Raw genomic sequence first — 25,692 nt, forward strand, 5'->3', positions numbered from 1 at the left:
GATCTTTTGTATTTCTGTGGTATCAACTGTAATATTCTCTTTCTCATTTCTGATTTAGTTTACTTGGGTCTTGTTTTTCTTGGTTGGTCTAGCAATGGATTTATTGATTTGGTTTATCCTTTCAAAAAAACCAACTTTTCATTTTGTTGATTCTTTGTATTTTTTTTTTTAGTGTCTATTTTGTTTAGTTCTGCTCTGATCTTTATTATTTCTTTCCTTCTACAAATTTTTGGTTTGTTCTTGCCTTTCTAGTTCCTTGTGGTGCATCATTATTTATCTGAATCCTTCTACATTTTTGATGTAGGCAATTATTGCTATAAACTTCCTTCTTAGCACTGCTTTGCTGTACTTCTTAGGTTTTGGTATGTTGTGTTTCAATTTTCATGTGTTTCAAGAGGTTTATTTCCACCTTAATTTCTTCCTTGACCAAATGGTCATTCAGGAGCATGTTTAATTTCCATGTATTTGTACAATTTCCAAAGTCCCTTATTATTGACTTCTAGCTTTTCTACCATTGTGGTCTAAGAAGGTATGTGATATGATTTTGACTTTTTTATTTGTTAAGGCTTGTTTTGTGTCCTAACATATGGTCTATCCTAGAGATTGTTCCATTTCCTCACAAGAAAAATGTGTATTCTATAGCTACTGGATGAAATGTTCTGTAAATGTCTGTTAGGTCCATTTAGTCTAATGTGCACTTTAAATCCAATGTTTGTTAATTTTCTGTCTTGACAATCTGTCTAATGATGACAGTGGGGTGCTGAAGTCTCCAACTACTATTATACGGGAGACTGTATCTCCATTTAGATATAATAATATTTGCTTTATATATCTGGGTACTCTGATGTTGAGTGCATATATGTTTAGAATTGTTATATCCTCTTGCCAAACTGATCCTTTTATCATTATATAATGACCTTCTTGATCTCCTTTTACTGTTTTTGACTTAAAGTCTGTTTTATCTGATATAAGTTTAGCTACTCCTGCTCACCTTTGGTTTCCATGTGCATGGAACACTTTTTCCATCCCTTTACTTTCAGTCTATGTGTGTCTTTACAGTTGAGATGAGTTTCTTGTAGGCAGCATATGGATAAGTCGTGTTTCTATATCCATTCGGCCAGTTTACATCTTTTAAATGGAAAGTGTAATCCACTTACATTCAAGGTTATTATTAATATGTGAAGGCTTATTCCTGTCATTTTATTAATTTCTGGTTGTTTTGTATATTCTTTGTCCTTTCTTTCTCTCTTATTGTTTCATCTTTGTGGTTTGGTGGTATTGTGTAGTGGTAACATTTGAGTTTTTCCCCCTTCATTGTTGATGTGTTTGCTCTGTCAGTGGTTTTTATTTATATTTTTGTGTTTTCATGATGGTGGTTACTAGTCTTTCAATTTCAGGTACAGGACTGTCTAACGCATTTCTTACAGGACCAGTCCAGTTGTGGTGAATTCCCTCAGCTTTTGCTTGTCTGGGAAAGACTTTATTTCTCCTTCATTTATGAAGAAAGAATAACTTTGCTGGGTATGGTATCCTTGGGTGGTAGGCGTTTTCTTTCAGAACTTTGAATATATCCTCTACTCTCGCTTGGCCTATAAGGTTTTTCCTGTGAAGTCCACTATTAGTCTAATGGGAGCTCTCTTATAAATGACTAGACACTCTTAATGTTTTTTGAATTTTCTCTTTGACTTTTAACAGTTTGACTATAACGCGTTGTGGAGAAGACCTTTTTAGATATTATCTTTTGTGGGATCTTTGATCCTCTTGGATGTCTAAACCTCTTGTTAAACTTAGAAAGTTTTAATCTATTATTTCATTAAATAGGTTTTCTAACCCTTTTGTTCTCTCTTCATCTTCTGGAACACCAAAAATTTGAATATTTGGCCACTTTCTGGTGTCCTATATCTCAAGAAGGCTTTGCTCATTCTTTTTTAGCATTTTATCTTTATTTTTGTCTTACTAGGTTACTTCCAAAGACCTGTCTTCAAGTTCTGAGATTCTTTCTTCTGCCTGATCTAGTCTATTATTGAAGCTTTGATCTATTTTCTATTTCATTCAATGAATTCTTCATTTCCTGAATTTGTTTGAATTTCTGATATCTATCTCTGGTAAACTTATTATTCATACCCTGAATTGTTTTTCTGATTTGTATTGCTTTTCAGTATTCTGTATTGCTTTTCAGTATTCTCTTCTTTCTTACACAGAGCTTCCTTAGTATCAAAATTTTGAATTATCTGTCCACCATTTCATGAATTTTTTTATTATGCTGCTGAAGGATTATGAATTTTTTATCTGCTGCTGAAGGATTATTGTGTTCCTTTGGAGATGGCATATTTCTTGCTCTTTCATGTTTGCCATGTCCTTACATTGATATCTGCACATCTGGTGTAACACTCACTTCTCCTTTTTTTTTGAGACACGGTCACACTATCGCCCAGGCTGCAGTGGGTAATCATGGCTCACTACAGCCTCAACCTCCTGGGTTCAAGTGATCCTCCCACCTCAGCCTCCCAAGTAGCTGGGACTACAGGCACACACCACCATGCCCGGCTAATTTTTTTTTTTAATTTTTTGTAGAGACAGGGTCTCCCTATGCTGCCCACACTGGTCTCAAACTCCTGGCCTCAAGCAATCCTCCTGCCTCAGTCTCCCAAAGTGCTGGGATTACAGGCATGAGCCACCATCCCAGCCCCAGTTTTTCTTTTTTTTTTTTCTTTTCTTTTTTTTTGAGACAGAGTCTCACTCTGTTGCCTGGGTTGGAGTGCACTGGTATGTGATCTTGGCTCACTGCAACCTCCGCTTCCCAGGTTCAAGCGATTCTTGTGCCTCAGCCTCCCGAGTATGCTGGAATTACAAGCACACACCACAATGCCTGGCTAATTTTTGTATTTTTAGTAGAGACAGGTTTTTGCCATGTTGGCCAGGCTGGTCTCAAACACTTATCCTCAAGTGATCCACCTGCCTCAGCATCCCAAAGTGTTGGGATTACAGGCATGAGCCATGGCACCCAGCCCCAGTCCCAATTTTTGGAATTAGCTTTTGGAGGGAAGGACTTTTTCCTGAAGCTATATCTGTGGTGTTGGTCGGGTAAAGCACTTTGGTTATGATTCTGGATGCATGCAGTAGTGTAGTCTCTGTATGGTTTCTTCAACTGTAAACACAGTCAGTTTCCTTGGTAGCTCAGGGTGTGGTTGTTAGTGGAGGCTATAGTAAGTTTTGCTGGGGGCTGGGATGTCAGGTGGGCATTCTCTTAAATGGAAAAACTACACATTTTTGTTTTTCTACTCTGGCGAGTACAGGGACGGGGTGAGGAGAGAGTTTGACCATAAAGAGGTAGCATGAGGGAATTCCTCTGTGGAGATGCAGCAGTTCTATAATCACTACCATGAATTTACACATGAGATCAAACTGTACTGAACTACACACACACACAAATGCATATCAAAAGTAAATAAGATCTGCAATCAGTTAACAGTACTGTATCAATGTCAATTTCCTGCTTGTGATATTGTACTACAATTATATAAAATGACACCATTGTGAGAAGCTGGGAGAAGGGTTCACAGAATTCTATGTACAATTACTGCAACTTCCCTTGAGTCTATTAATTATTTTAAAATAATAAGATTTTTTTAAAAGCCACCTGAAGAACAAGACTGAACAAAGTATATTAAATCAGTGACAAAAATAAATTTTGTTTCTTACCTTTAGGCTCTTTAGGTAATTTGAGAGCATGCTGGGATGGAACCGATTTTCTTCAGCAACTTGACTATCATATCTTGGTCCTAACATTGTCTTCAGAGGTAAGAATCTTCCTAAACAACACAGATAGGTAATCATTTCCATAAAAGGAAATGTTTCAGATTAAAATTCTATAATTAACAATTCTCAAATATCACCTTCTTAAAACCTTTTTTTTTGAGACCAAGTGTCGCTCTGTCCCCCAGGATAGAGTGCAGTGGTGCAATCTCAGCTCATTGAAACCTCTGCCTCCTGAGTTCAAGCAATTACCTTGCCTCAGTCTCCCAAGTAGCTAGGATTACAGGTGTGTACCACCAAGCCCAGCTAATTTTTGTGTTTTTAGTAGAGACAGGGTTTCACCACATTGCCCAGGCTGGTCTCAAACTCCTGGGCTCAAGCAATCCACCCACCTCGGCCTTCCAAAGTGCTGGAATTACAGGCGTGAGCCACCGCACCCAGCCTCTTAAAACATTTTAAATGGAAAAGCAATCTAAAAATGCAAGTGTTCATAAAGTACTCTCAATTTAAACTATACTTTTCAAAGATACTACCCTACATCTTTTTTTTTTTTTTTTGAGACGGAGTCTCGCTCTGTAGCCCAGGCTGAAGTGCAGTGGCGCAATCTCGGCTCACTGCAAGCTCCACCTCCCAGGTTCATGCCATTCTCCTGCCTCAGCCAAGGACAAAAAAATTATAAAAATTGACAATCAAATATAACAGCAAAAGAAAAATTACCAGTGAATAGAACTTCCATTATCTAAGTTCTACACCACTACATTAAAAAAGTTATTAATTTAAAACTCTTAAAAACATAAGCAATCTTCCTGCCTAAGCCTCCCAAGTAGCTGGGACTGCAGGTGCACACCACCATAACCAGCTAATTTTTTTGCTGGGGGGAGCACGTTGTCAGGTCTCACTATGTTGTCCAGGCTAGTCTCAAACTCCTGGGCTCAAGCGATCCACCCACCTCAGCCTCCCAAAGTGCTGGGATTATATGCCCTATATGGTTTTTATTATCAGGTTGGAACTTTCTCCAACCTGATACTAAAAAGTTGTAGGCTTTATTCTATATCTCAGGATAAAGACCATGCTAGAATATGATATCATTCTGAGAGGATGCTAACCAAAATCATCCTTCAAACAACTATCAGTGGTTATTTCAGCTAGAAAGACTGACTTTTTTTGACCTTTTTTTCTGAATGACAGTATAGCATAGAGGAAGTCACCTCTAACCAATTTTTTTAACATCTATTTTAACTGATATATGTATGCGTATTATTTTTGAGACAGGGTGTCACTCTGTTGCCCAGGCTGGAGTGCAGTGGCGTGATGTCAGCCCCTGCAGCCTCAACCTCCTGGGCTCAAGCAATCCTTCCACCTCAGCCCCCCAGTAGCTGGGACTACAGACGCACACCACCACACTCAGCTAATTTTTTGTGTTTTTTGTAGGGATGAGGTTTTGCCATGTTGCCCAGGCTGGTCTCGAATTCCTAAGCTCAAGCAATTCGCCTACCTCGGCCTCCCAAAATGCTGGGATTATAGGCATGAGCCACTGAGCCTGGCCTTACATTTTCAAACACAATAAAAACAATATTATCTGCCTAAGTGAAGTCTTAACATCTGTCCAAAGGCTTTAAGCTAAATTTCATGAAAAAATAATTTTTTAAGATTTTGTTTTCTACAAAATCAAAGTCACCCATAACCTCCACATTGCTAAATCAAATGGTCAACTCTCAGTTCTCACCTTAAGCTCTCAGCAACATAAAACAACTGGTCACTTTTTGACAAAAGAACCACTTTTTTCACCTAAATTCCAGAATACTATTATATCCTCCTGGTTTTCCTTCTAGCTCTCTGGCCTCTCCTTCTCAGTCTACTTTAGTGGCTCCCCCTCTCACCCTGACTCCTCTATGTTTTGTCTCAGGACTCAATCCTTGGACCTCTTTTATATTTTCATTCACTCCCTTGGTGTCTCATCTAGTCTCATGGCTTTAAAAGCCATCAATGTGCTAATGACTTACAAATTTATATTTCCAGTTCAAATCACTCCCTTAACTCTAGATGGATATCAACTGCCTACTGAACCTCTACTTTATGTCTAACAGATGTCTCAGATTTGATATCCAAATCTCAACTCTTAATACTCAAACTCTAAAACCTGCTCCCTTCATGGTCTTCCCTATCTCAGCAAATAGTAACATCATTCTTTTAGCAGCTCAAGACCAAAACCTTTTAGGTTATCCTTGCCTATTCTCCTTTTCTCACACCCAACATCCAATCCATCAGCAAATCCCGTAGCTCCACCTTCAAAATACATCCAGAATCTGACCACTTCTCACCACCTCCACCAACATCTGATTTAGGTTTCTTTTACTTCATTTAGTTTAACAGATATATAGTGGGTATGTACTATGTACCAGGCATTGTTCTAGGCGCACGGATTACATTAGTGAAAAGGAAAAAAAAAACACACACACAAACAAAAAACAGAAAAGCCCTGCCCTCATAGTGTTTATATTCTATTAGGAAAATATAAATCATGAGCAATAAACATAATAAATAAATAAATAAGAAGATTCATCCCATCAGACTTTCTCTCCCTCTTACTACTGCCTCAGAAGTCCAATCCTATTTCCATCAGCTCTTTCAGGGTTCCCTTTCCTTCTTATCCAACATCAGAGCCCACAGTGGATCAACATAATTAGTCCCCTGTAAATACCCTTAACCTCCTTGCTCTGCCCCCATTACCCAGTCACACTCACCTGAGAAAAATCCAGACCTCAATGAACTTAACCACCTGACTTCTTTGTGCCTACACATATGTAGCTGAGGCTTCCTAGAGCAAATCTCACAGCACAAAAGATGGGTGACACTATACTTCATAATCACCAATATCAAAGGCAATCCTACCACACACCATTAGCTCTCCTTTATGATAAATATTTTACATCTTTTCCTCATTCCTAAAACATCCCCTTTTCAACTGACAACTTTAAGTTAGACTTCACTGAAAAGAAAAAAACAAAAGAAGCCATAATAATTAAAGCTAATTGTGTATGTTTACCACATGCTAGACACTGTTTAAAATACTGTACATAATTCATTCATTTACTCCTAACAATAAGTATTGTTATTATTCCTCGTTTTACAGATGAGAACAAAGCAAGAGCGATTAAGTAACTTGCCACATGTCACACCACTAATAAATGGTAAAAACAGTGATTCAAATGAAGACTACGGATGTAGAGTCCATGAATGAAACTGCTATTCAACAATGCCTCTCCACCTTTAGGCAGAAACTTGCCTTGCCTTTGCAGTTAATCTATAAACCTTTCTGTATCTCAGCCCATACTCCTCCTCCCATTAAAAATCCTCCCTTCTGCTCGGGATTTCCTTACCATCTTGCCTTTCAAGGGCCACCAATCAATCCTTTCTTCCTCTCCCAACCCCCACCCCCAACATCTTCAGCATCTCAGACATCTGCTGGCTCATTTCCATCAGCATTTAAATAAGCCCTAAACTCTCCCTTATCCCCCAACTTATGCTTCATTTTTACTCCTCTTCATAACCAAACTTTTTAAAAAGTTTAATACACATACTCCTATCTTTACTTCATTACCTCCAATTCATTTATGTATACATGTGTGAGCAAGAGTGTAGACTTTACTTCTCTATAACTGTGCATAATTTAGTTTTTGAGCTCCCATTCAAGATAGCCCACAGTCAAATCAGGATTCTCCTCCTGAATGTGACTACATTCCTCAAAGGTAGAGAACCTGGCATTGGGGGAAAGGGGGGCAACTGCTATTTTGTACACCATCTTTTTCCCCTCTTGCTTCCAGTAAACTGAACTGTATTGCATCTGATCTTTGGGCATTGTTAGTTTCCATCCCAGCAGCTTCTGCTGATATGACTAAGGTCCATCCACGGCCTTGGTAGACGGGCTGATGAAGATAGTCCTACATCTTCAATGTTCCAACCCCTGCCTCCTTCTCAGGTCAGCTGGCCATTCTCAAGTCACTTCTGATCATTCCTTTTGGCCACGCTATCCCCATTCTTTTGGCCACTCTATCCGAAAGGTAGGAAAGGTAGCAATTAGCCTCTTAGACAGGTCTCAGAGCCATCTACACATATTCCTCAGCAATCCACTACAACTCTCTAAGAGACTTGCAACCAAGTAGCTCATTAATCCACTCTAATCTGGCTTCTGATCTCACATTCCCACTGAAAATATTTGTCACAGTCACCAACAGATTTTACCAACTTTTCTAGTATCTTAACATTTCAGCAGCATTTCATGTATCTGACAACTTCTTTCTTCTTGAAAAACTCTCCTGCCTTACATGACACCCAAACTCTTGTTAGTTTCAATCACCCACCTAACACCTCCATCAATTTCTAGCTATTCGTCCTCAACTCCTTTGTTCCCTCTTTTTTCTTTAACCAACGTCTAAATGTCAGGTTTCTATGGGTTCCACTGTGGACCTTCTCTACTCTCTCTACGGTCTCTGCCTGGGAGAAGTTTTATCTATTGCCATGGTAGAAATGACACTATCTGTTCATCACAGTCAATTTACTTTCTTCTTCCAGGACACAATGAAAGACTAGCTTTCTCAGTTTCTCTTGTAGTTGAGTGAGGGCCATGTATCTGGATTCTGGCCAATGGGATACGGGCCAAAGTTAGCTATACGACTACCAAGCCTGGCCATAAAACCCCCTGAGAGATCACCCATGCCTGCTCCTCCCCTTTCATAGCAACTTTAGAAGTCACATGTTTAAGATGACAGCATCAAAGATGGAAAGACTCTAGCGAGTTGCTAATCAGAGAAGAGTAGCCTGGGAAAGTTGCCTGATACAACACATTCCGATATGAGCAAGAAATATAGTTTGATTGGAACTCCTGAGTTTTGGGCAGTTGTTTATGAGAGAAACTAGTATTACAGGCATACTTTGCTTTACTGTAATTCACAGATACTGCATTTTTTAATAAATTGAAAGTCTGTGGCAACCTTTTGTCTATCAAGTCTATCAAGTAATTTATCCAACAGTATGTACTCATTTTGTGTCTGTGCCACATTTTGGTAATTTCCACAATAGTTCAAGCTTTTTTATTATTATTATATTTGTTACAGTGATCTATGATCAGTGATCTTTGATGTTACAACTGTAATTGTTTTGGAGTGCCATGAACAACACCCATAAGATGGCAAACTTAATAAATAAATGCTGTATGTGTTCTCACTGCTCCACTGAGCAGCCATTCCTCCGTCTCTCTCCCTCTCCTGGAGCCTCCCTATTTCCTGAGACACAATAATATTGAAATTAGGCCAATTAATAACCCTACAATGGCCTCTAAGTGTTCAAGTGAAATGAAGAATCATATGTCTCTCATTTAAATCAAAAACTAGAAATGATTAAGTTCAGTGAAGAAGGTACATTGAAAGCCCAGATATGCCAAAAGCTAGGCCTCTTGCACCAGTTAGCCAAGTTGTGAATGAAAATGAAAAGCTCGACAGCAGCTCTCCCTCTCCCTCTCCCTCTCCCTCTCCCTCTCTCTCCCTCCCTCTCCCTCTCCCCACGGTCTCCCTCTCATGCGGAGCCGAAGCTGGACTGTACTGCTGCCATCTCGGCTCACTGCAACCTCCCTGCCTGATTCTCCTGCCTCAGTCTGCCGAATGCCTGCGATTGCAGGCACGCGCCGCCACGCCTGACTGGTTTTGGTGGAGATGGGGTTTCGCTGTGTTGGCCGGGCCGGTCTCCAGCCCCTAACCGCGAGTGATCCGCCAACCTCGGCCTCCCGAGGTGCCGGGATTGCAGACGGAGTCTCGTTCACTCAGTGCTCAATGGTGCCCAGGCTGGAGTGCAGTGGCGTGATCTCGGCTCACTACAACCTACACCTCCCAGCCGCCTGCCTTGGCCTCCCAAAGTGCCGAGATTGCAGCCTCTGCCCGGCCGCCACCCCGTCTGGGAAGTGAGGAGTGTCTCTGCCTGGCCGCCCATCGTCTGGGATGTGAGGAGCCCCTCTGCCTGGCTGCCCAGTCTGGAAAGTGAGGAGCGTCTCCGCCCGGCCGCCATCCCATCTAGGAAGTGAGGAGCGCCTCTTCCCAGCCGCCATCACATCTAGGAAGTGAGGAGCGTCTCTGCCCGGCCGCCCATATTCTGAGATGTGGGGAGCGCCTCTGCCCCGCCGCCCCATCTGGGATGTGAGGAGCGCCTCTGCCCGGCCGAGACCCCGTCTGGGAGGTGAGGAGCGTCTCTGCCCGGCCGCCCCGTCTGAGAAGTGAGGAGACCCTCTGCCTGGCAACCACCCCGTCTGAGAAGTGAGGAGCCCCTCCGCCCGGCAGCTGCCCTGTCTGAGAAGTGAGGAGCCTCTCCGCCCGGCAGCCACCCCATCTGGGAAGTGAGGAGCGTCTCCGCCCGGCAGCCACCCCGTCCGGGAGGGAGGTGGGGGGAGTCAGCCCCCCGCCCGGCCAGCCGCCCGATCCGGGAGGGAGGTGGGGGGGTCAGCCCCCCCGCCCGGCCAGCCGCCCCGTCCGGGAGGTGAGGGGCGCCTCGGGCCCGGCCGCCCCTACTGGGAAGTGAGGAGCGTCTCTGCCCGGCCGCCCATATTCTGAGATGTGGGGAGCGCCTCTGCCCCGCCGCCCCATCTGGGATGTGAGGAGCGCCTCTGCCCGGCCGAGACCCCGTCTGGGAGGTGAGGAGCGTCTCTGCCCGGCCGCCCCGTCTGAGAAGTGAGGAGACCCTCTGCCTGGCAACCACCCCGTCTGAGAAGTGAGGAGCCCCTCCGCCCGGCAGCTGCCCTGTCTGAGAAGTGAGGAGCCTCTCCGCCCGGCAGCCACCCCATCTGGGAAGTGAGGAGCGTCTCCGCCCGGCAGCCACCCCGTCCGGGAGGGAGGTGGGGGGAGTCAGCCCCCCGCCCGGCCAGCCGCCCGATCCGGGAGGGAGGTGGGGGGTCAGCCCCCCGCCCAGCCAGCCGCCCGTCCGGGAGGTGAGGGGCGCCTCTGCCCGGCCGCCCCTACTGGGAAGTGAGGAGCCCCTCTGCCCGGCCAGCCGCCCCGTCCGGGAGGGAGGTGGGGGGGGGTCAGCCCCCCCGCCCGGCCAGCCGCCCCGTCCGGGAGGTGAGGGGCGCCTCTGCCCAGCCGCCCCTACTGGGAAGTGAGGAGCCCCTCTGCCCGGCCAGCCGCCCCATCCGGGAGGGAGGTGGGGGTGTCAGCCCCCCGCCTGGCCAGCCGCCCCGTCCGGGAGGGAGGTGGGGGGGGGTCAGCCCCCCCGCCCGGCCAGCCGCCCCGTCCGGGAGGTGAGGGGCGCCTCTGCCCGGCCGCCCCTACTGGGAAGTGAGGAGCCCCTCTGCCCGGCCAGCCGCCCCGTCCGGGAGGGAGGTGGGGGGGTCAGCCCCCCGCCCGGCCGGCCGCCCCGTCCGGGAGGTGAGGGGCGCCTCTGCCCAGCCGCCCCTACTGGGAAGTGAGTAGCCCCTCTGCCCGGCCACCACCCCGTCTGGGAGGTGTGCCCAACAGCTCATTGAGAACGGGCCAGGATGACAATGGCGGCTTTGTGGAATAGAAAGGCGGGAAAGGTGGGGAAAAGATTGAGAAATCGGATGGTTGCCGTGTCTGTGTAGAAAGAAGTAGACATGGGAGACTTTTCATTTTGTTCTGCACTAAGAAAAATTCCTCTGCCTTGGGATCCTGTTGATCTGTGACCTTACCCCCAACCCTGTGCTCTCTGAAACATGTGCTGTGTCCACTCAGGGTTAAATGGATTAAGGGCGGTGCAAGATGTGCTTTGTTAAACAGATGCTTGAAGGCAGCATGCTCGTTAAGAGTCATCACCAATCCCTAATCTCAAGTAATCAGGGACACAAACACTGCGGAAGGCCGCAGGGTCCTCTGCCTAGGAAAACCAGAGACCTTTGTTCACTTGTTTATCTGCTGACCTTCCCTCCACTATTGTCCCATGACCCTGCCAAATCCCCCTCTGTGAGAAACACCCAAGAATTATCAATAAAAAAATAAATTAAAAAAAATAAAAATAAAAAATAAAATAAAATAAAATGAAAAAAAAAAAAAAAAAAAGAAAATGAAAAGCTCTTGGAGGCTGTTACAAGTGCTACTCCAGTGAACACACAAATGATAAAAAAGCAAAATAATCAGTCTTTTTTTTTTTTTTTTTTTTTGAGACAGAGTCTTGCTCTGTTGCCCAGGCTGGAGTCAGTAGCACAACCTCGGCTCACTACAACCTCTATCCACCTCCCAGGTTCAAACGATTCTCCTGCCTCAGCCCCTGTAGCTGGGACTACAGGTGAGCACCACCATGCCCGGCTAATTTTTTTGTATTTTTAGTAGAGACGGGGTTTCACCATATTGGCCAGGCTGGTCTCGAACTCCTGACCTCGTGATCCACCCACCTCGGCCTCCCAAAGTGCTGGGATTACAGACGTGAGCCACCATGCCTGGCCAAAAGTGAAATAGTCTTATTGTTGATATGGAGAAAATTTCAGTGGTCTGAATAGATCAAACCAGCCACAACATTTCCATTTAAGCCAAAGCCTAATCTTGACCAAGGCAGCAACTCCCTTCAATTCTATGAAGGCTGAGAGAGGTAAGGAAGCTGCAGAAGAAAAATCTGAAGCTAGCAGAGGTTGATTCACAAGGTTTAAGGAAAGAAGCCATCTCTCTAACATAAAGGTACAAGGTAAAGTGCTGTTATGGAAGCTGCAGCAAATTATCCAGAAGATATAGCTAAGATAATTGATGAACATGGCTCCACTAAACAGCAGGATTTCAGTGTAGACAAAACAGCCTTCTATTAGAAGAAAATGGTATCTAGGACTTTCATAGCTAGAGAGAAGTCAATGCCTAGATTCAAAGCTTCAAAGGACAGGCTGACTTTCTTGTTAGGAGCTGGTAACTTTAAGTTGAAGCCAGTGCTCGTTTACCATTCTGAAAATACTAGGGCCCTTAAGAATTATGCTAAATCTACTCTGTCTGTGCTCTATCAACGAACAACAAAAGCCTGGATGACATCCCATCTGTTTACAGAATGTTTTACTGAATTTTTTGAACCCCACTGTTGAGACTTACTGCTCAGAAAAAAAGATTCCTTCCAAAATATTACTGCTCACTGACTATGCACCTAGGCACCCAAGAACTCTGATGGAAATGTACAGGGAGATTAATGTTGGTTCCATGCCTACTAACATAGCAGCCCATGGATCAAGGGATAGTTTCAATTTTCAAGTCCTATATTATTTTTGTTTGTCTTTACAGAGTGGGTTCCCTAAAAAAGGTCTTATTATTTAAGAAATACATTTCATAAGGTTATAACTGCCATATACAGTAATTCCTCTGATGAATCTGGGCAAAATAAATCAAAAACTTTCTGGAAAGGATTCACCATTCTAGATGCCATTAAGAATATTCATGATTCATAGGAGAAAGTCAAAATATCAACAGAATTTGAAATGTTTATTATAACCCTCATGGATGACTTTGAGGAGTTCAAGACTTCAGTGGAATAAGTAACTGCAGATGTAGTGGAAATAGCAAAAGAACTAGAATTAGAAGTGGAGCCTGAAAGTTAGCCAGGCATAGTAGCACACACCTGTAGTCCCAGCTACTCAGGAGGCGGGGATGGGAGAATCGCTTGAACCCAGGAGTTCGAGGCGGCAGTGAGCCATGATCATGCCATTGCATTCCAACCTGGAGGACACAGTGAGATACTGTCTCAAAAAAATATAAATAAATAACTGTTTTTGGTTTTTTTTTTTTTTTGAGACAGGGTCTTACTCTGTCACTCAGGCTGAAATACAGTGGCGCGACCTTGGCTCACTGCAATCTCCATCTCCCGGGTTCGAGTGATTCTCCTGCCTCAGCCTCATGAGTAGCTGGGTTTACAGGTGCCTGCCACCATGCCCAGCTAATTTTTATACTTTTAGTAGAGATGCAGTTTCACCATGTTGGCTAGGCTGGTTTTGAACTCCTGACCTCAGGTGATCCGCCTGCCTCGGCCTCCCAGAGTGCTAGGATTATAGGTGTGAGCCACCGCACCTGGCCAATACAAACATTTTTTAAAGTGGAGCCTGAAGACGTGACCAAATTGCTGCAATCTCATGATAAAACTTTAACAGATGAGGAGTTGCTTCTTACAAATGAGCAAAGTGGTTTCCTGATATGGAATCTAGCCCCAGTTAAGATGTGAATATTGCTGAAGTGACAACAAAGGATTTAGAATATTACATAAACTTGATTGATAAAGCAGCAGCAGGGTTGGGGAGAATTGACTCCACCCCTGAAGAAAGTTCTACCATGGCTAAAGAAAGTTCTACCATGGCTAAAATGCTACAGAGAAATCTTTCATGAAGAGTCAATCTATGTAGCAAACTTCATTGCTCTCTGATTTCAAGAACTTGCCACAGCCAAACAGATCCGTTGAAAGAAGCCAGACAGTGCTGTAAATTCCACGAGACAGGCGAAAAACCATGAGCTCCCAAAGTGTGAGAGGGGGGATAAAACCTGCCTCTGAACACACATTCCCCATTGGGGAATCTGAAAATCCAGATCACAGGAGAAGGATTTAATCTTACCTACAGCTGAAATGGATTTAGAGAGCCGAGTGAAATATAAAAGTAGAAGCAGCAGCAGGAAGAGCCTTGTAGGCACTCCCAGTCTCCAGCTCAAGCCCAGGGAAGCCATTCCTGACTACATCTCACAGGGGCCCTCGGGGAAAGCAGACAGCAGAATTAGGGAGGGTCATGGGGGGAAAAAAGCTTCCAAATGAAACTCATAATAATTTTGACCAGGCATGAATTTTCTTAAGCAGAATCCAGGGAATGAACGGGAACTGCTGCAGATATGAGCACAAAAGCTGCCCAGTGGGCAGACAGGGAGGCAGACAGGGAGGGGTAGGGCCTGAAAGCCATGCTCGCTTTCTCAGTGGGGAAACTTACATTCAGGGGCAAGGTCTGAGGAGTGAGGGGGTGCACCACAGAAGTAAGACCAGCCTCACCAACTGCATGGGAGCTGGGTGAAGCCTTTCATTACCAGCTATCCCCCACTTCCCTGGCAAACTATATGACACAGCAGAGGCAGCCATAATCCTCTCTGGAACATAACCTGTTGGCCCAAGAACCACCCCCCATCCCCTACAGTGGCTACAGCAAGCCCCACCCAAGGAGAGTCTGAGCCCATATCCACCTAATCCTTCCCCTACCTGATGGTATTTCTCTACCTGCCCTGGTTGCTGAACACAAAAGACAGAAATTCTTGGGAGCTTTATGCCCCACCTATTGCCTGAGAAACCAGAATACTAACCCTGGCCAACTTAAGACAAACTTAGATCCCCCAACTAGCACCACAGCTAGTGCTCTCTTGAAAGCACCACCTCCTGGCTGAAAGCCAACTAACTCAGGCCATTACAGCAACTCATGACAAAATAATCCTGCTCCCAGGAAAGATAAAATAACAGCTAATATACCACTGCCTGCAACATCCTGGCTAACCAGAGGTCCTGAGTCTGTTCACATGACAACTTCACTACTAGCATAACCAGCATTTGAGAAAGCCGACACATTAAATATATCTACAACCAAGGACTCTCACAGAGTCTACTTACTGCCCTGCCACCCCTACCAGAGCAGGTGCTGGTATCAATGGCTGGGACACCTGAAGATGGATTACATCACAGGACTCTGCAGACATTCTTCAGCACCAGCCTTAGGGCCTGGTAACTCCACAGTGTGACTAGAACCAGAAGAGCAATAACAATCACACCAATCCAGCTCTCAGGAAGCCCCAAGCCCCATCCCTAGAGGAAGGGAGAGAGCACAACATCAAGGGATCAGCCTGTGGGACAAAAGAATCTGAACAGACGCCTTGAGTTTCAGACCTTTCCACTGAAACAGTCTACTCAAACGAGAAGGAACCAGAAAAGTGATTCTGGTAATATGATAAAACAGGGTTCTATAAAACGCCCCAAAAATCATACTAGCTCCCCAGCAATGGATCCAAACCAGGAAGAAATTTCTGAATTGCCAGATAAAGAATTCAGAAGGTTGATTATTCAGCTATTCAAGGAGATACCAGAACAAGGTGAAAATCAACTTAAAGAAATTTTAAAAAATACAAGATATGGATGAAAAATTCTCCAGAGAGAAATAGAGATCATAAAGAAAAAACAATCACAAATTCTGGAAATGAAAGACACACTTAGAGAAATACAAAATGCACTGGAAAATTTTAATAATAGACTAGAACAAGTAGAAGAAAGTACTTCAGAGCTCGAAGACAAAGCTTTCAAATTAACCCAATCAGACAAAAACAAAGAAAAAAAATTTTAAAAATGAACAAAGCCTCCAAGAAATGTGGGATTATGTTAAACAGCCAACCCTAAGAATAACTGGTGTTCCTGAGGAAGAAGAGAAACATAAAAGTTTGAAAAACTTATTTGAGGAAATAATTGAGGAAAAGTTCCCTGGCCTTGCTAGAGATCTAGACATCCAAATACAAGAAGTTCAAAGAACACCTAGGAAATTCATCACAAAAAGATCATTACCTAGGCACATAGTTATCAGGTTATCTAAAGTCAAGATGAAGGACAGAAACTTAAGAGCTGTGACACAATAGCCTCAGATAACCTATAAGGGAAAACCTAACAGATTAACAGCTGATTTCTCAGCAGAAACCTTACAAGCCAGAAGGGATTGGGGTCCCATCTTTAGTTTCCTGAAACAAAATAACTGTCAGCCAAGAATTTTGTATTCAGCAAAACTAGGCTTCATAAATGAAGGAGAGATAGTCTTTCTCAGATAAACAAATGCTGAGAGAATTGGCCACTACAAGAAATGAAAGACACACTACAAGAAATGCTAAAAGGAGTTCTAAACCTTGAAATAAAACCTCAAAATACACCAAAATAGAACATCCTTAAAGCATAAATTTCACAGGGCCTATAAAACGATAACAGAATTTTTTTAAAAAAAGGTATTTAGGCAACAACTAGCATTATGAATAGAACAGTACCTTATCTCAATACTGTATTAACATTGAATAGAAATGGCCCAAATGCTCCTTTTAAAAGACACAGAATGGCAGAATGGATAACAACCCACAAACCAAGTATCTGCTGCCTTCAAGAGACTCACCTAATGCATAAGGACTCACATAAACTTAAGGTAAAGGGGTAGAAAAAGATATTCTACACAACTGGAAATCAAAAGCGGGCAGGAATAGCTATTCTTATGTCAGACAAAACAAACTTTAAAGGAATAACAGTTCAAAAAGACAGAGAAGGACATTATATAATGAAAAAAAGGATTCGTCCAACAGGAAAATATCACAATCCTATATATGCACCTAACCCTGGAGCTCCAAAATTTGTAAAGCAATTACTACTAGAGACCTAAGAAATGAAATACACAGCAACACAACAATAGTGGGGGACTTCAATACTCCACTGACAGCACTAGACAGGTCATCAAGAGAGAAAGTCAACAAAAAAAGAATAGAGTTAAATATACCCTAGAACAAATGGACTTAACAGATATTTAGTCTCAATAAATTTAAGATAATTGAAATTCTATCTAGTATCCTCTCATACCACAGTGGAATAAAACTGAAAATTAGCTCCAAAAGGAACCCTCAAAGCTATACAAATACACGACCAGGCGTGGTGGCTCATGCCTGTAATCCCAACACTTTAGGAAGCTGAGGTGGGTGGATCACCTGAGGTCAGGAGTTCAAGACCAGCCTGGCCAACATGATAAAACCATGCCTCTACTAAAAATACAAAAATTAGCCAGCCATGTACTAAAAATACATGGTGGCACGGGCTTGTAATCCCAGCTACTAGGGAGGCTGAGGCAGGAGAATTGTTTGAACCTGGGAGGCAGAGGTTGCAATGAGCTGAGATCGTACCATTGCATTCCAGCCTGGGTGACAGAGCAAGACTCCATCTCAGAAAAAATAAATAAATAAAAATTAAAACTATACAAATACATGGAAATTAAAATTTCTGCTCTTGAATAATCTTTGGGTCAACAATGAAATAAAGATGGAAATTTAAAAATTTTTTGAACTGAATGATAACAGTGACACAACCTATCAAAACCTCTGAGACACAGCAAAAGCAGTGCTAAGAGGAAAGTTCATAGCATTAAATACCTACATCACCAGGCGTGGTGGCTCATGCCTGCAATCCTAGCACTTTGGGAGGCCAAGGCGGGCAAATCACAAGGTCAGGAGTTCGAGACCAGCCTGGCCAACATGGTGAAATCCTGTCTCTACTAAAAATACAAAAAATTAGCCAGGCATGGTGGCGGGCGCCTGTAATCCTAGCTGCTCAGGAGGCTGAGGCAGCAGAATCGCTTGAACAGAAGAGGCGGAGGTTGCAGTGAGCCAAGATCGTACCACTGCACTCCAGCCCAGGTGACAGAGTGAGACTCATCTCAAAAAAAAAAAAAAAAAACCCACACCAAAACATCTGAAGGAGCACAAACAGAAAATCTAAGGTCACACTTCAAGGAACTAGAGAAACAAGAATAAACTGAACCCAAACCCAGCAGAAGAAAAGAAGTAACAAACATCAGAGCAGAACTAAACTGTAACAAACAAACAAAAAATACCAAACATCCACAAAAGATTAACAAAACACTGGTTCTGGATGTGGTGCAGTGGCTCACGTCTGTAATCCCAGCACTTTGGAAGGCCAAGGGAGGCAGATCATTTGAGGTCAGGAGTTTGAGCCTGACCAACATGGTGAAATCCCATCTCTACTAAAAATACAAAAAAATTAGCCGGGTGTGGTGGCGGGCCACCTGTAGTCCCAGCTACTTGGGAGGCTGAGGCAGGAGAATCACTTGAACCTAGGAGGCAGAGGTTGCAGTGAGCCAAGATGGCATCACTGCACTCCAGCCTGGGTGACAGAGCGAGACTCTGTCTCAAAAAAAAAAAAAAAAAAAAAAAAGCTGGTTCTTTGAAAATATAAACACAATTGATAGACCATTAGCAAGATTAACCAAGAAAAGAAGAAGATTCAAGTAAGTTCAACTAGAAACAAAACAGGAGATATTACAACCGATACAACAAAAATATAAAAGATCATTCAATAGTACTATGAATACTTTATATGCACAAACTAGAAAATCTAGAGGAGATGGATAAATTCCTGGAAATATACAACCCTCCTAGATTAAATCAGGAAGAAAGAGAAACTCTGAACAGACTAATAACAAGTAGCAAGACTGAAACAGTCATAAAAAAACTGCCAAGAAAAAAGTCCAAGAAAACAAAAATAAATTAATTAAATTAAAATTTAAAAATTTTAAGTGCAGGACCAGATGGATTCACAGCTGAATTCTACCAGTCAAAGAAGAATTGCTACCAATCTTACTGAAACTATTCCAAAAGACAGAGAAAGGGAATCCTCCCTAAATCATTCTATGAAGCCAGTATCACTCTAATACCAAAACCAGGAAACAATATAACAATAAAGAAAACTAGAGACCAATATCCCTGATGAACATAGATGCAAAAATCCTCAACAAAATGCCAGCTAACCAAATCCAAAAGCATATCAAAAAGGTAATACACCATGATCAAGTGAGTTTCATACCAGAGATGCAGAGATGGTTTACCATACACAAGTCAATAAATGTTGGCCAGGCGTGGTGGCTCTTGCCTGTAATCCCAGCACTTCAGGAGGCCGAGGTGGGTGAATCATTTGAGGTCAGGAGTTCAAGACCAGCCTGGCCAACGTGGTGAAACCCCGCTTCTATTAAAAATACAAAAATTAGCCAGACGTGGTGGCAGGTAGTCCCAGCTACTCAGGAGGCTGAGGCAGGAGAATCACTTGAACCCGGGAGGCAGAGGTTGCAATGAGCTGAGATGGTGCCACCGCACTCCAGACTGGGTGACAGAGCAAGACTCTGTCTCAAAAATAACTAAATAAAATAAAAATAAATGTGATACGTCACATAAACAGAATTAAAAACAAAAATCACATGATCATCTCAATAGATACAGAAAAAGTATTTGACAAAATCCAGTATCCCTTCATGATTAAAACCTTCAGCAAAACTGGCACAGAAGGGACGTACCTCAAGGTAATAGAGCCATACCTCAACATAATAAAAGGCATCTATGACAAACACATGACCAACACTATACTGAATGGGGAAAGGTTGAAAGCATTCCCCCTGGGAACTGGAACAAGACAAGGATGCTACTTTCACCACTTCTATTTAACATAGTACTGGAAGTCCTCACCAGAGCAATCAGGCAAGAGAAAGAAATAAAGGGCATCCAAATTGGTAAAGAGGAAGTCACACTGTCACTGTTCACTGATGATATGATTGTATACATAGGAAACCCTAAAGACTCATCCAAAAAGCTCCCAAATCTGACAAATGAATTCTTTAAAGTTTCAGGATACAAAATCAACGTACACAAATCAGTAGCACTGCTATGCACCAACAATGGCCAAGCTGAGAATCAAATCAAGAACTCAATCCCTTTTACAACAGCTGCATAAAAAAAATAATAACAATAGAATACTTAGGAATATACCTAACCAAGGAGGTGAAAGATCTCTAAAAGGAAAACTACAAAACACTACTGAAATAAATCACAGATGACACAAACAAATGGAAACACATCCCATGCTCATAGATGGGTATAATCAATACTATGAAAATGATCATACTGCCAAAAGCAATCTTTAGATTCAATGCAATTCCCATCAAAGTACCATCATCATTCTTCACAGAACCAGAAAAAGCAATCCTAAAATTCATTGAACCAAAAAAGAGCCCAAATAGCCAAGGTAAGCAAACAAAAAAGAACAAATGTAAAGGCATCACATTACCCAACTTCAAATTATACTACAAGACTATAGTAACCAAAACAGCATAGTACTGGTATAAAAATAGGCACACAGACCCATGGAACAGAATAGAGAACCCAGAAAGAAAGCCAAACACTTACAGCCAACTGATCTTTGACAAAGCAAACAAAAGCATAAAGTGGGGAAAGGACACCCTATTCAACAAATGGTCCTGGGATAACTAACAAGCTACGCGTAGAAGAATGAAACTCATCTCTCACCTTATACAAAGTCAACTGGAGATGGATCAACTCAAACTTAAGTAAGATCTGAAACCATAAAAATTCTAGAAGATAACATTGGAAAAAACTCTTCTAGACATTGACTTAGGCAGAGTTCGTGACCAAGAACCCAAAAGCAAATGCAACAAAAACAAAAATAAATAGATGGAACCTAATTAAACTAAAAAGCTTCTGCACAGCAAAAGAAATAATCAGCAGAGTAAACAGACAACCCACAGAGTGGGAGAAAATCTTCGCAAACTATGCATCTGACAAAGAACTAATATCCAGAATCTACAAGGAACTGAAACAAATGAGCAAGAAAAAAACAAATAATCCCATCAAAAAGTGGACAAAGGACATGAACAGACAAAAGAAGATATACAGTTGGCCAAGAAGCATATGAAAAATGTTCAACATCACTATCAAGGAAATGCAAATTAAAACTACAATGAGATACCACCTTACTCCTGCAAGAATGGCCATAATTAAAATATCAAAAAATATTAGATGTTGGCATGAATGTGGGGAAAAGGTAACACTTTTACACTGCTGGTGGGAATGTAAATTATTACAACCACTAGGGAAAACAGTATGGTGATTCCTTGAAGAACTAGAAGAACTACCATTTGATCCAGCAATCCCACTACTGGGTATCTACCCAGAAGAAAATAAGTCATTATCTGAAAAAGCCACTTGCACAGGCATGTTTACAGCAGCACAATTTGCAATTGCAAAAATGTGGAACCAGCTTAAATGCCCAAGAACCAATGAGTGGATAAAGAAAATGTGATATGTATATATACCATGGAATACTACTCAGCCATAAAAAGGAATGAAATAATGGCATTCATGGCAACCTAGATGGAGTTGGACCCCATCATTCTAAGTGAAGTAACTCAGGAATGGAAACCCAAATATCCTGTGTTCTCACTTGTAAGTGGGAGCTAAGCTATGAGAATGCAAAGACATAACAATGATATAATGGACTTTGGGTACTCAGGGGGAAGTGTGGAGAGGGGGGATGAGGGATAAAAGACTACTACAGTGTACACTCCTTGAGTGACAGGTGCACCAAAATCTCAGAAATCATCACTGAAGTACTTATCCATGTAACCAAAAACCACCTGTCCCCCAAAAACTACTGAAATAACATAAAAATGTTTTTTAAAAAGATCTTTACTAAAGATCTCTATTTGAGCAATCAGGATCTTAATATCTCCTCCAACCTGCTTCTCTCTCAGTAAGCCCTAATAATATCAACTATCTCATGTGCATAAGCCAGACATTTGAGACTAAATTTTGACCCTCTTTCCCTCATTCTAAATACGACATCAAGTTCTGTCCATTTTCCCTTCTTAATATCTCTCAAATTAGCCTTCTACTCTTCATCTGTCACTTTTAAACTATCACTATTGTCTTTCACCTGGACTACAACAAGTTCCTAATTAGTCTCTCCATTTCCACTCTTTTCTCCATCAATTCATTAAACACAGAAAAGTCAAAGTAAGCTTTTAACTTGGATTCAAATAATCTCATCTCGATGCTGAAAAAAAAAACTGCAATTGTATGCCACTGAAAATTTAAAGCATATAAATATTAGGATACCTTATCACACCCTACTTGCCTGTATGATCAGGCTATTCTCCAACCTCTTAACCTCACTTACATCTTCCAGAACAAAGACACTTTTTCAGTCTATTATCTCTCCCATCATCATCCTATCCTAACAGAAACTTTCAATAACACCCCCTGCCAACTATTTATCTAGAAAACTTCTATTTACTGAAGATAATTCATGTATGACCTTCTCTGGGAAGTCTCACCTGATCTCCTTCTTCCTTCCCATCTCTTCTTCCTCAACCTCAAAGAATTAGGTTTATTACCTCTGATTCCCATCATATACCACAATAGAGTCATTGCTACATTTTTTACAACAGAACTGTGCTTAAAATGGATGGTTTGCTACTCCCATGAGACTCTGCTTTTTAAGGGTAATATATCTTAGCCATCTCCCTAGCACCCAGGACTAGCACAAAGTAGACATTTAAATATTTGCTAAATAAAATGACTTCAAAATCACCATCACTATCACCATCACACTATCCTGAGTACCTGGGACCACAAGTATGTGCCAATGCACCTGGCTGTGTCTCATATTTACATTCCCACAGTTCCTAGTAAGCTCTTTACATAGCAGATATGAAATAATTTTATGTTGAATGATATATCTTTAAGAAACTAGGGAGGGCTGGGTGCGGTAGCTCACACCTGTAATGCCAACACTTTGGGAGGCCAAGGCAGGCGGATCACCCGAGGTCAGCAGTTGGAGACCAGCCTGGCCAACATGGTGAAACCCCATCTCTACTAAAAATACAAAAAAGAAAAGAAAAGAAAAGAAAAAAAGGAAAAAGGAAAAGAAATTATAAGTTTGTTTTCTTCCAAGTATTCACCTGAAATCTATTAACTCAGAAGGAGGAAAAAACAGTTCTTCAGAAAATAAAGCTTGGCCCTGTCTCCAAGAGCTCTCTCTCATTGCAAGTCTGGTTTCATCAGAGAAAGTGACTTCACAGAGAAACAAATTATATGTAGTTAGTACCATTTTCTTTCTGATTCAGGAAAATTATGAACTTCTAGTACTAGTAAAGTGAATCCTAACATTTACAACATATAAGTTTGAGCAGCCATAACATTTTCCTCAATATGCAAAATATCAAAGAAATTACTGTGATGGTTAATACTGAGTGTCAACTCGATTGGATTGAAGGATGCAAAATATTGATCCTGGGTGTAGAGGGTGTTGCAAAGGAGATTAACATTTGAATCAGTGGGCTGGGAAAAGCAAACCCACCCTTAATCTGGGTGGGCACCATCTAATCAGCTGCCAGCATGGCTAGAATATAAAGCAGGCAGAAAAATGTGAAAAGACTTGACCGGCTTAGCCTCCCAGCCTACATCTTTGTCCTGTGGTGGACGCTTCCTGCCCTCAAACACTGGATTCCAAGTTCTTCCATTTTGGGACTCAGACTGACTCTCCTTGCTCCTCAGTTTGCTGACAACCTATTGTGGGACCTTGTGATCGTGTGAGTTAACAGTTAATAAACTCCCCTTTACGTCTGTATGTGTGTGTGTGTATGTATGTGTGTGTGTGTATATATATATATGTACATATATTTCCTATTAGTTCTGTCCCTCTAGAGAACCCTTACTAATAAATTACACGATAAGTACAAATTACTTTTTTTTTTTTTTGAGATGGAGTCTCACTCTGTCACCCATGCTGGAGTGCAGTGGTGCAATCTCAGCTCACTGCAACCTCCGTCTCCTGGGTTCAAGTGATTCCCCTGCCTCGGCCTCCCGAGTAGCTGGGATTACAGGCACATACCACCACGCCATCATAGCTTTTTGGCTATTCATATAACTTATTTTGTGAAGTGTCCAAATTTTTTGCTAGTTTTTAAGTCCTTTGAATTTCTTCTGTATAATACATTGATGGTGGGACTATCAAGTGTTACCACTTTGGAAAAGAGGTTGGCAGTTTCTTAAAATTCTTAAAACATACACCTACCATATGATGCAGCCATTCCTCTCCTAGAGACTTACACAAGAGAAATGAAAGTATATGTCCACACAAAGAATTGTACATGAATGTTCACAGCAGGTTTATTTGTAATAGCTAAAAACTGGAAATAACCCAAATGACCATCAATAGATGAACAGGTAAACAAATTGTGGTATACCCAGAACAATAAACTACTACTCTGCAATAAAAAAGGAATAAACTATTGATACATGCATAATCTGGATGAGTATCAAATTAATTATGCTGAGTGAAAAAAGCCACACACACTTCCTTCCACCCCAAGAAGAGTACTCACTATATGTTTCCATTTATTTAAAAATTTCTAGAAAATGCAAACCAATCTATAATTACAGAAAGCAGATCAGTGGCTGCCAGGCGAAGGAGGGATTTAAAAAGGGGCAAGAGGAAACTTTGAGGGGTTTCATGGTTGTTTCCTAGGAAAGAGATATATTTGTGTATATACAGTCAAAATTTATCAAACTGTACGCTTTAAAGCTTATTGTATTCAAGCTCAATAAAGATGAAAAAAACTACAAGAAAAATAATTAAAAAAAACAAAAACCCGGCCAAGCGGGGTGGCTCTCGCCTATAATCCCAACACTTTGGGAGGCCGAAGTGGGAGCATCGCTTGAGTCCACGAGTTCAAGACCAGCCTGGGCAACACAGTGAAACCCTGTCTCCACAAAAAATAAACAAAAAAATTATGGCCAGGCACAGTGGCTCACGGCTGTAATCCCAGCACTTTGGGAGGCCGAGGCGGGCGGATCACTTGAGGCCAGGCGTTGGAGACCAGCCTGGTCAACACGATGAAACCCTGTCTCTACTAAAAACAAAAATTAGCCGGGTGTGGTGGCACGCGCCTGTAATCCCAGCTACTTGGGAGGCTGAGGCAGTGAGCCGAGATCACGCCACTGCACTCCAGCCTGGACGACAGAGAGAGACTATGTCTCAAATATATACATTATAAATATATATATACTTTAATAAATAAAAAAATTAGCCGGGTGCGGTGGCAGGAGCATGTAGTCCCAGCTACTTGGGAGGCTGAGGTGGGAGGATCCCCAGCCCGAGCAAGAGACCCTGTCTCACAAGAAAATAAAAATAAAAAACTAACAAAAACACCCTCCAGATTCCCAGTCTCAATGTGACCCCATTTCACCGCTGGGAACCGCCCCTTCCCTCCTTAACCCTCCTCCATCTCAATACTGATATTCATCCCTTCTTTCGAGGGGAAGGTTGAACCCTAACAGGTTCGCAAACTACTAAGACTCAAAG

The 25,692-nt window shown here is 42.3% G+C and overlaps 1 protein-coding gene across 5 annotated transcripts in view, besides 1 other annotated feature; it reads right to left on the reverse strand.

Annotated features, from left to right (window-relative positions):
• The window catches only part of RNGTT (RNA guanylyltransferase and 5'-phosphatase), a 353,722-nt gene that overhangs the window by 327,472 nt on the left and 558 nt on the right, over positions 1–25,692 (reverse strand). For 4 of the 5 annotated variants that reach the window (NM_001286426.2, NM_003800.5, XM_047419443.1 and 1 more), the window contains exon 2: positions 3,703–3,812. The exons of the other annotated variant lie outside the window; for it this stretch is intronic. In NM_001286426.2, the coding sequence (NP_001273355.1) occupies positions 3,703–3,812 (110 nt within the window). The remainder of the gene's footprint in view (positions 1–3,702; positions 3,813–25,692) is intronic. 5 annotated transcript variants of the gene reach the window in all.
• Positions 24,669–25,595: an enhancer, noted in NCBI's record as "H3K27ac-H3K4me1 hESC enhancer chr6:89671756-89672682 (GRCh37/hg19 assembly coordinates)". NCBI's record gives its function as "activates a minimal SCP1, AML or CMV promoter by ChIP-STARR-seq in naive H9 embryonic stem cells {active_cell/tissue: H9 hESC(naive)}" and the evidence as "EXISTENCE:reporter gene assay evidence [ECO:0000049][PMID:30033119]".

The sequence above is a fragment of the Homo sapiens genome, chromosome 6, assembly GCF_000001405.40.
Source record: "Homo sapiens chromosome 6, GRCh38.p14 Primary Assembly".
NCBI classification, from domain to species: domain Eukaryota; kingdom Metazoa; phylum Chordata; class Mammalia; order Primates; family Hominidae; genus Homo; species Homo sapiens.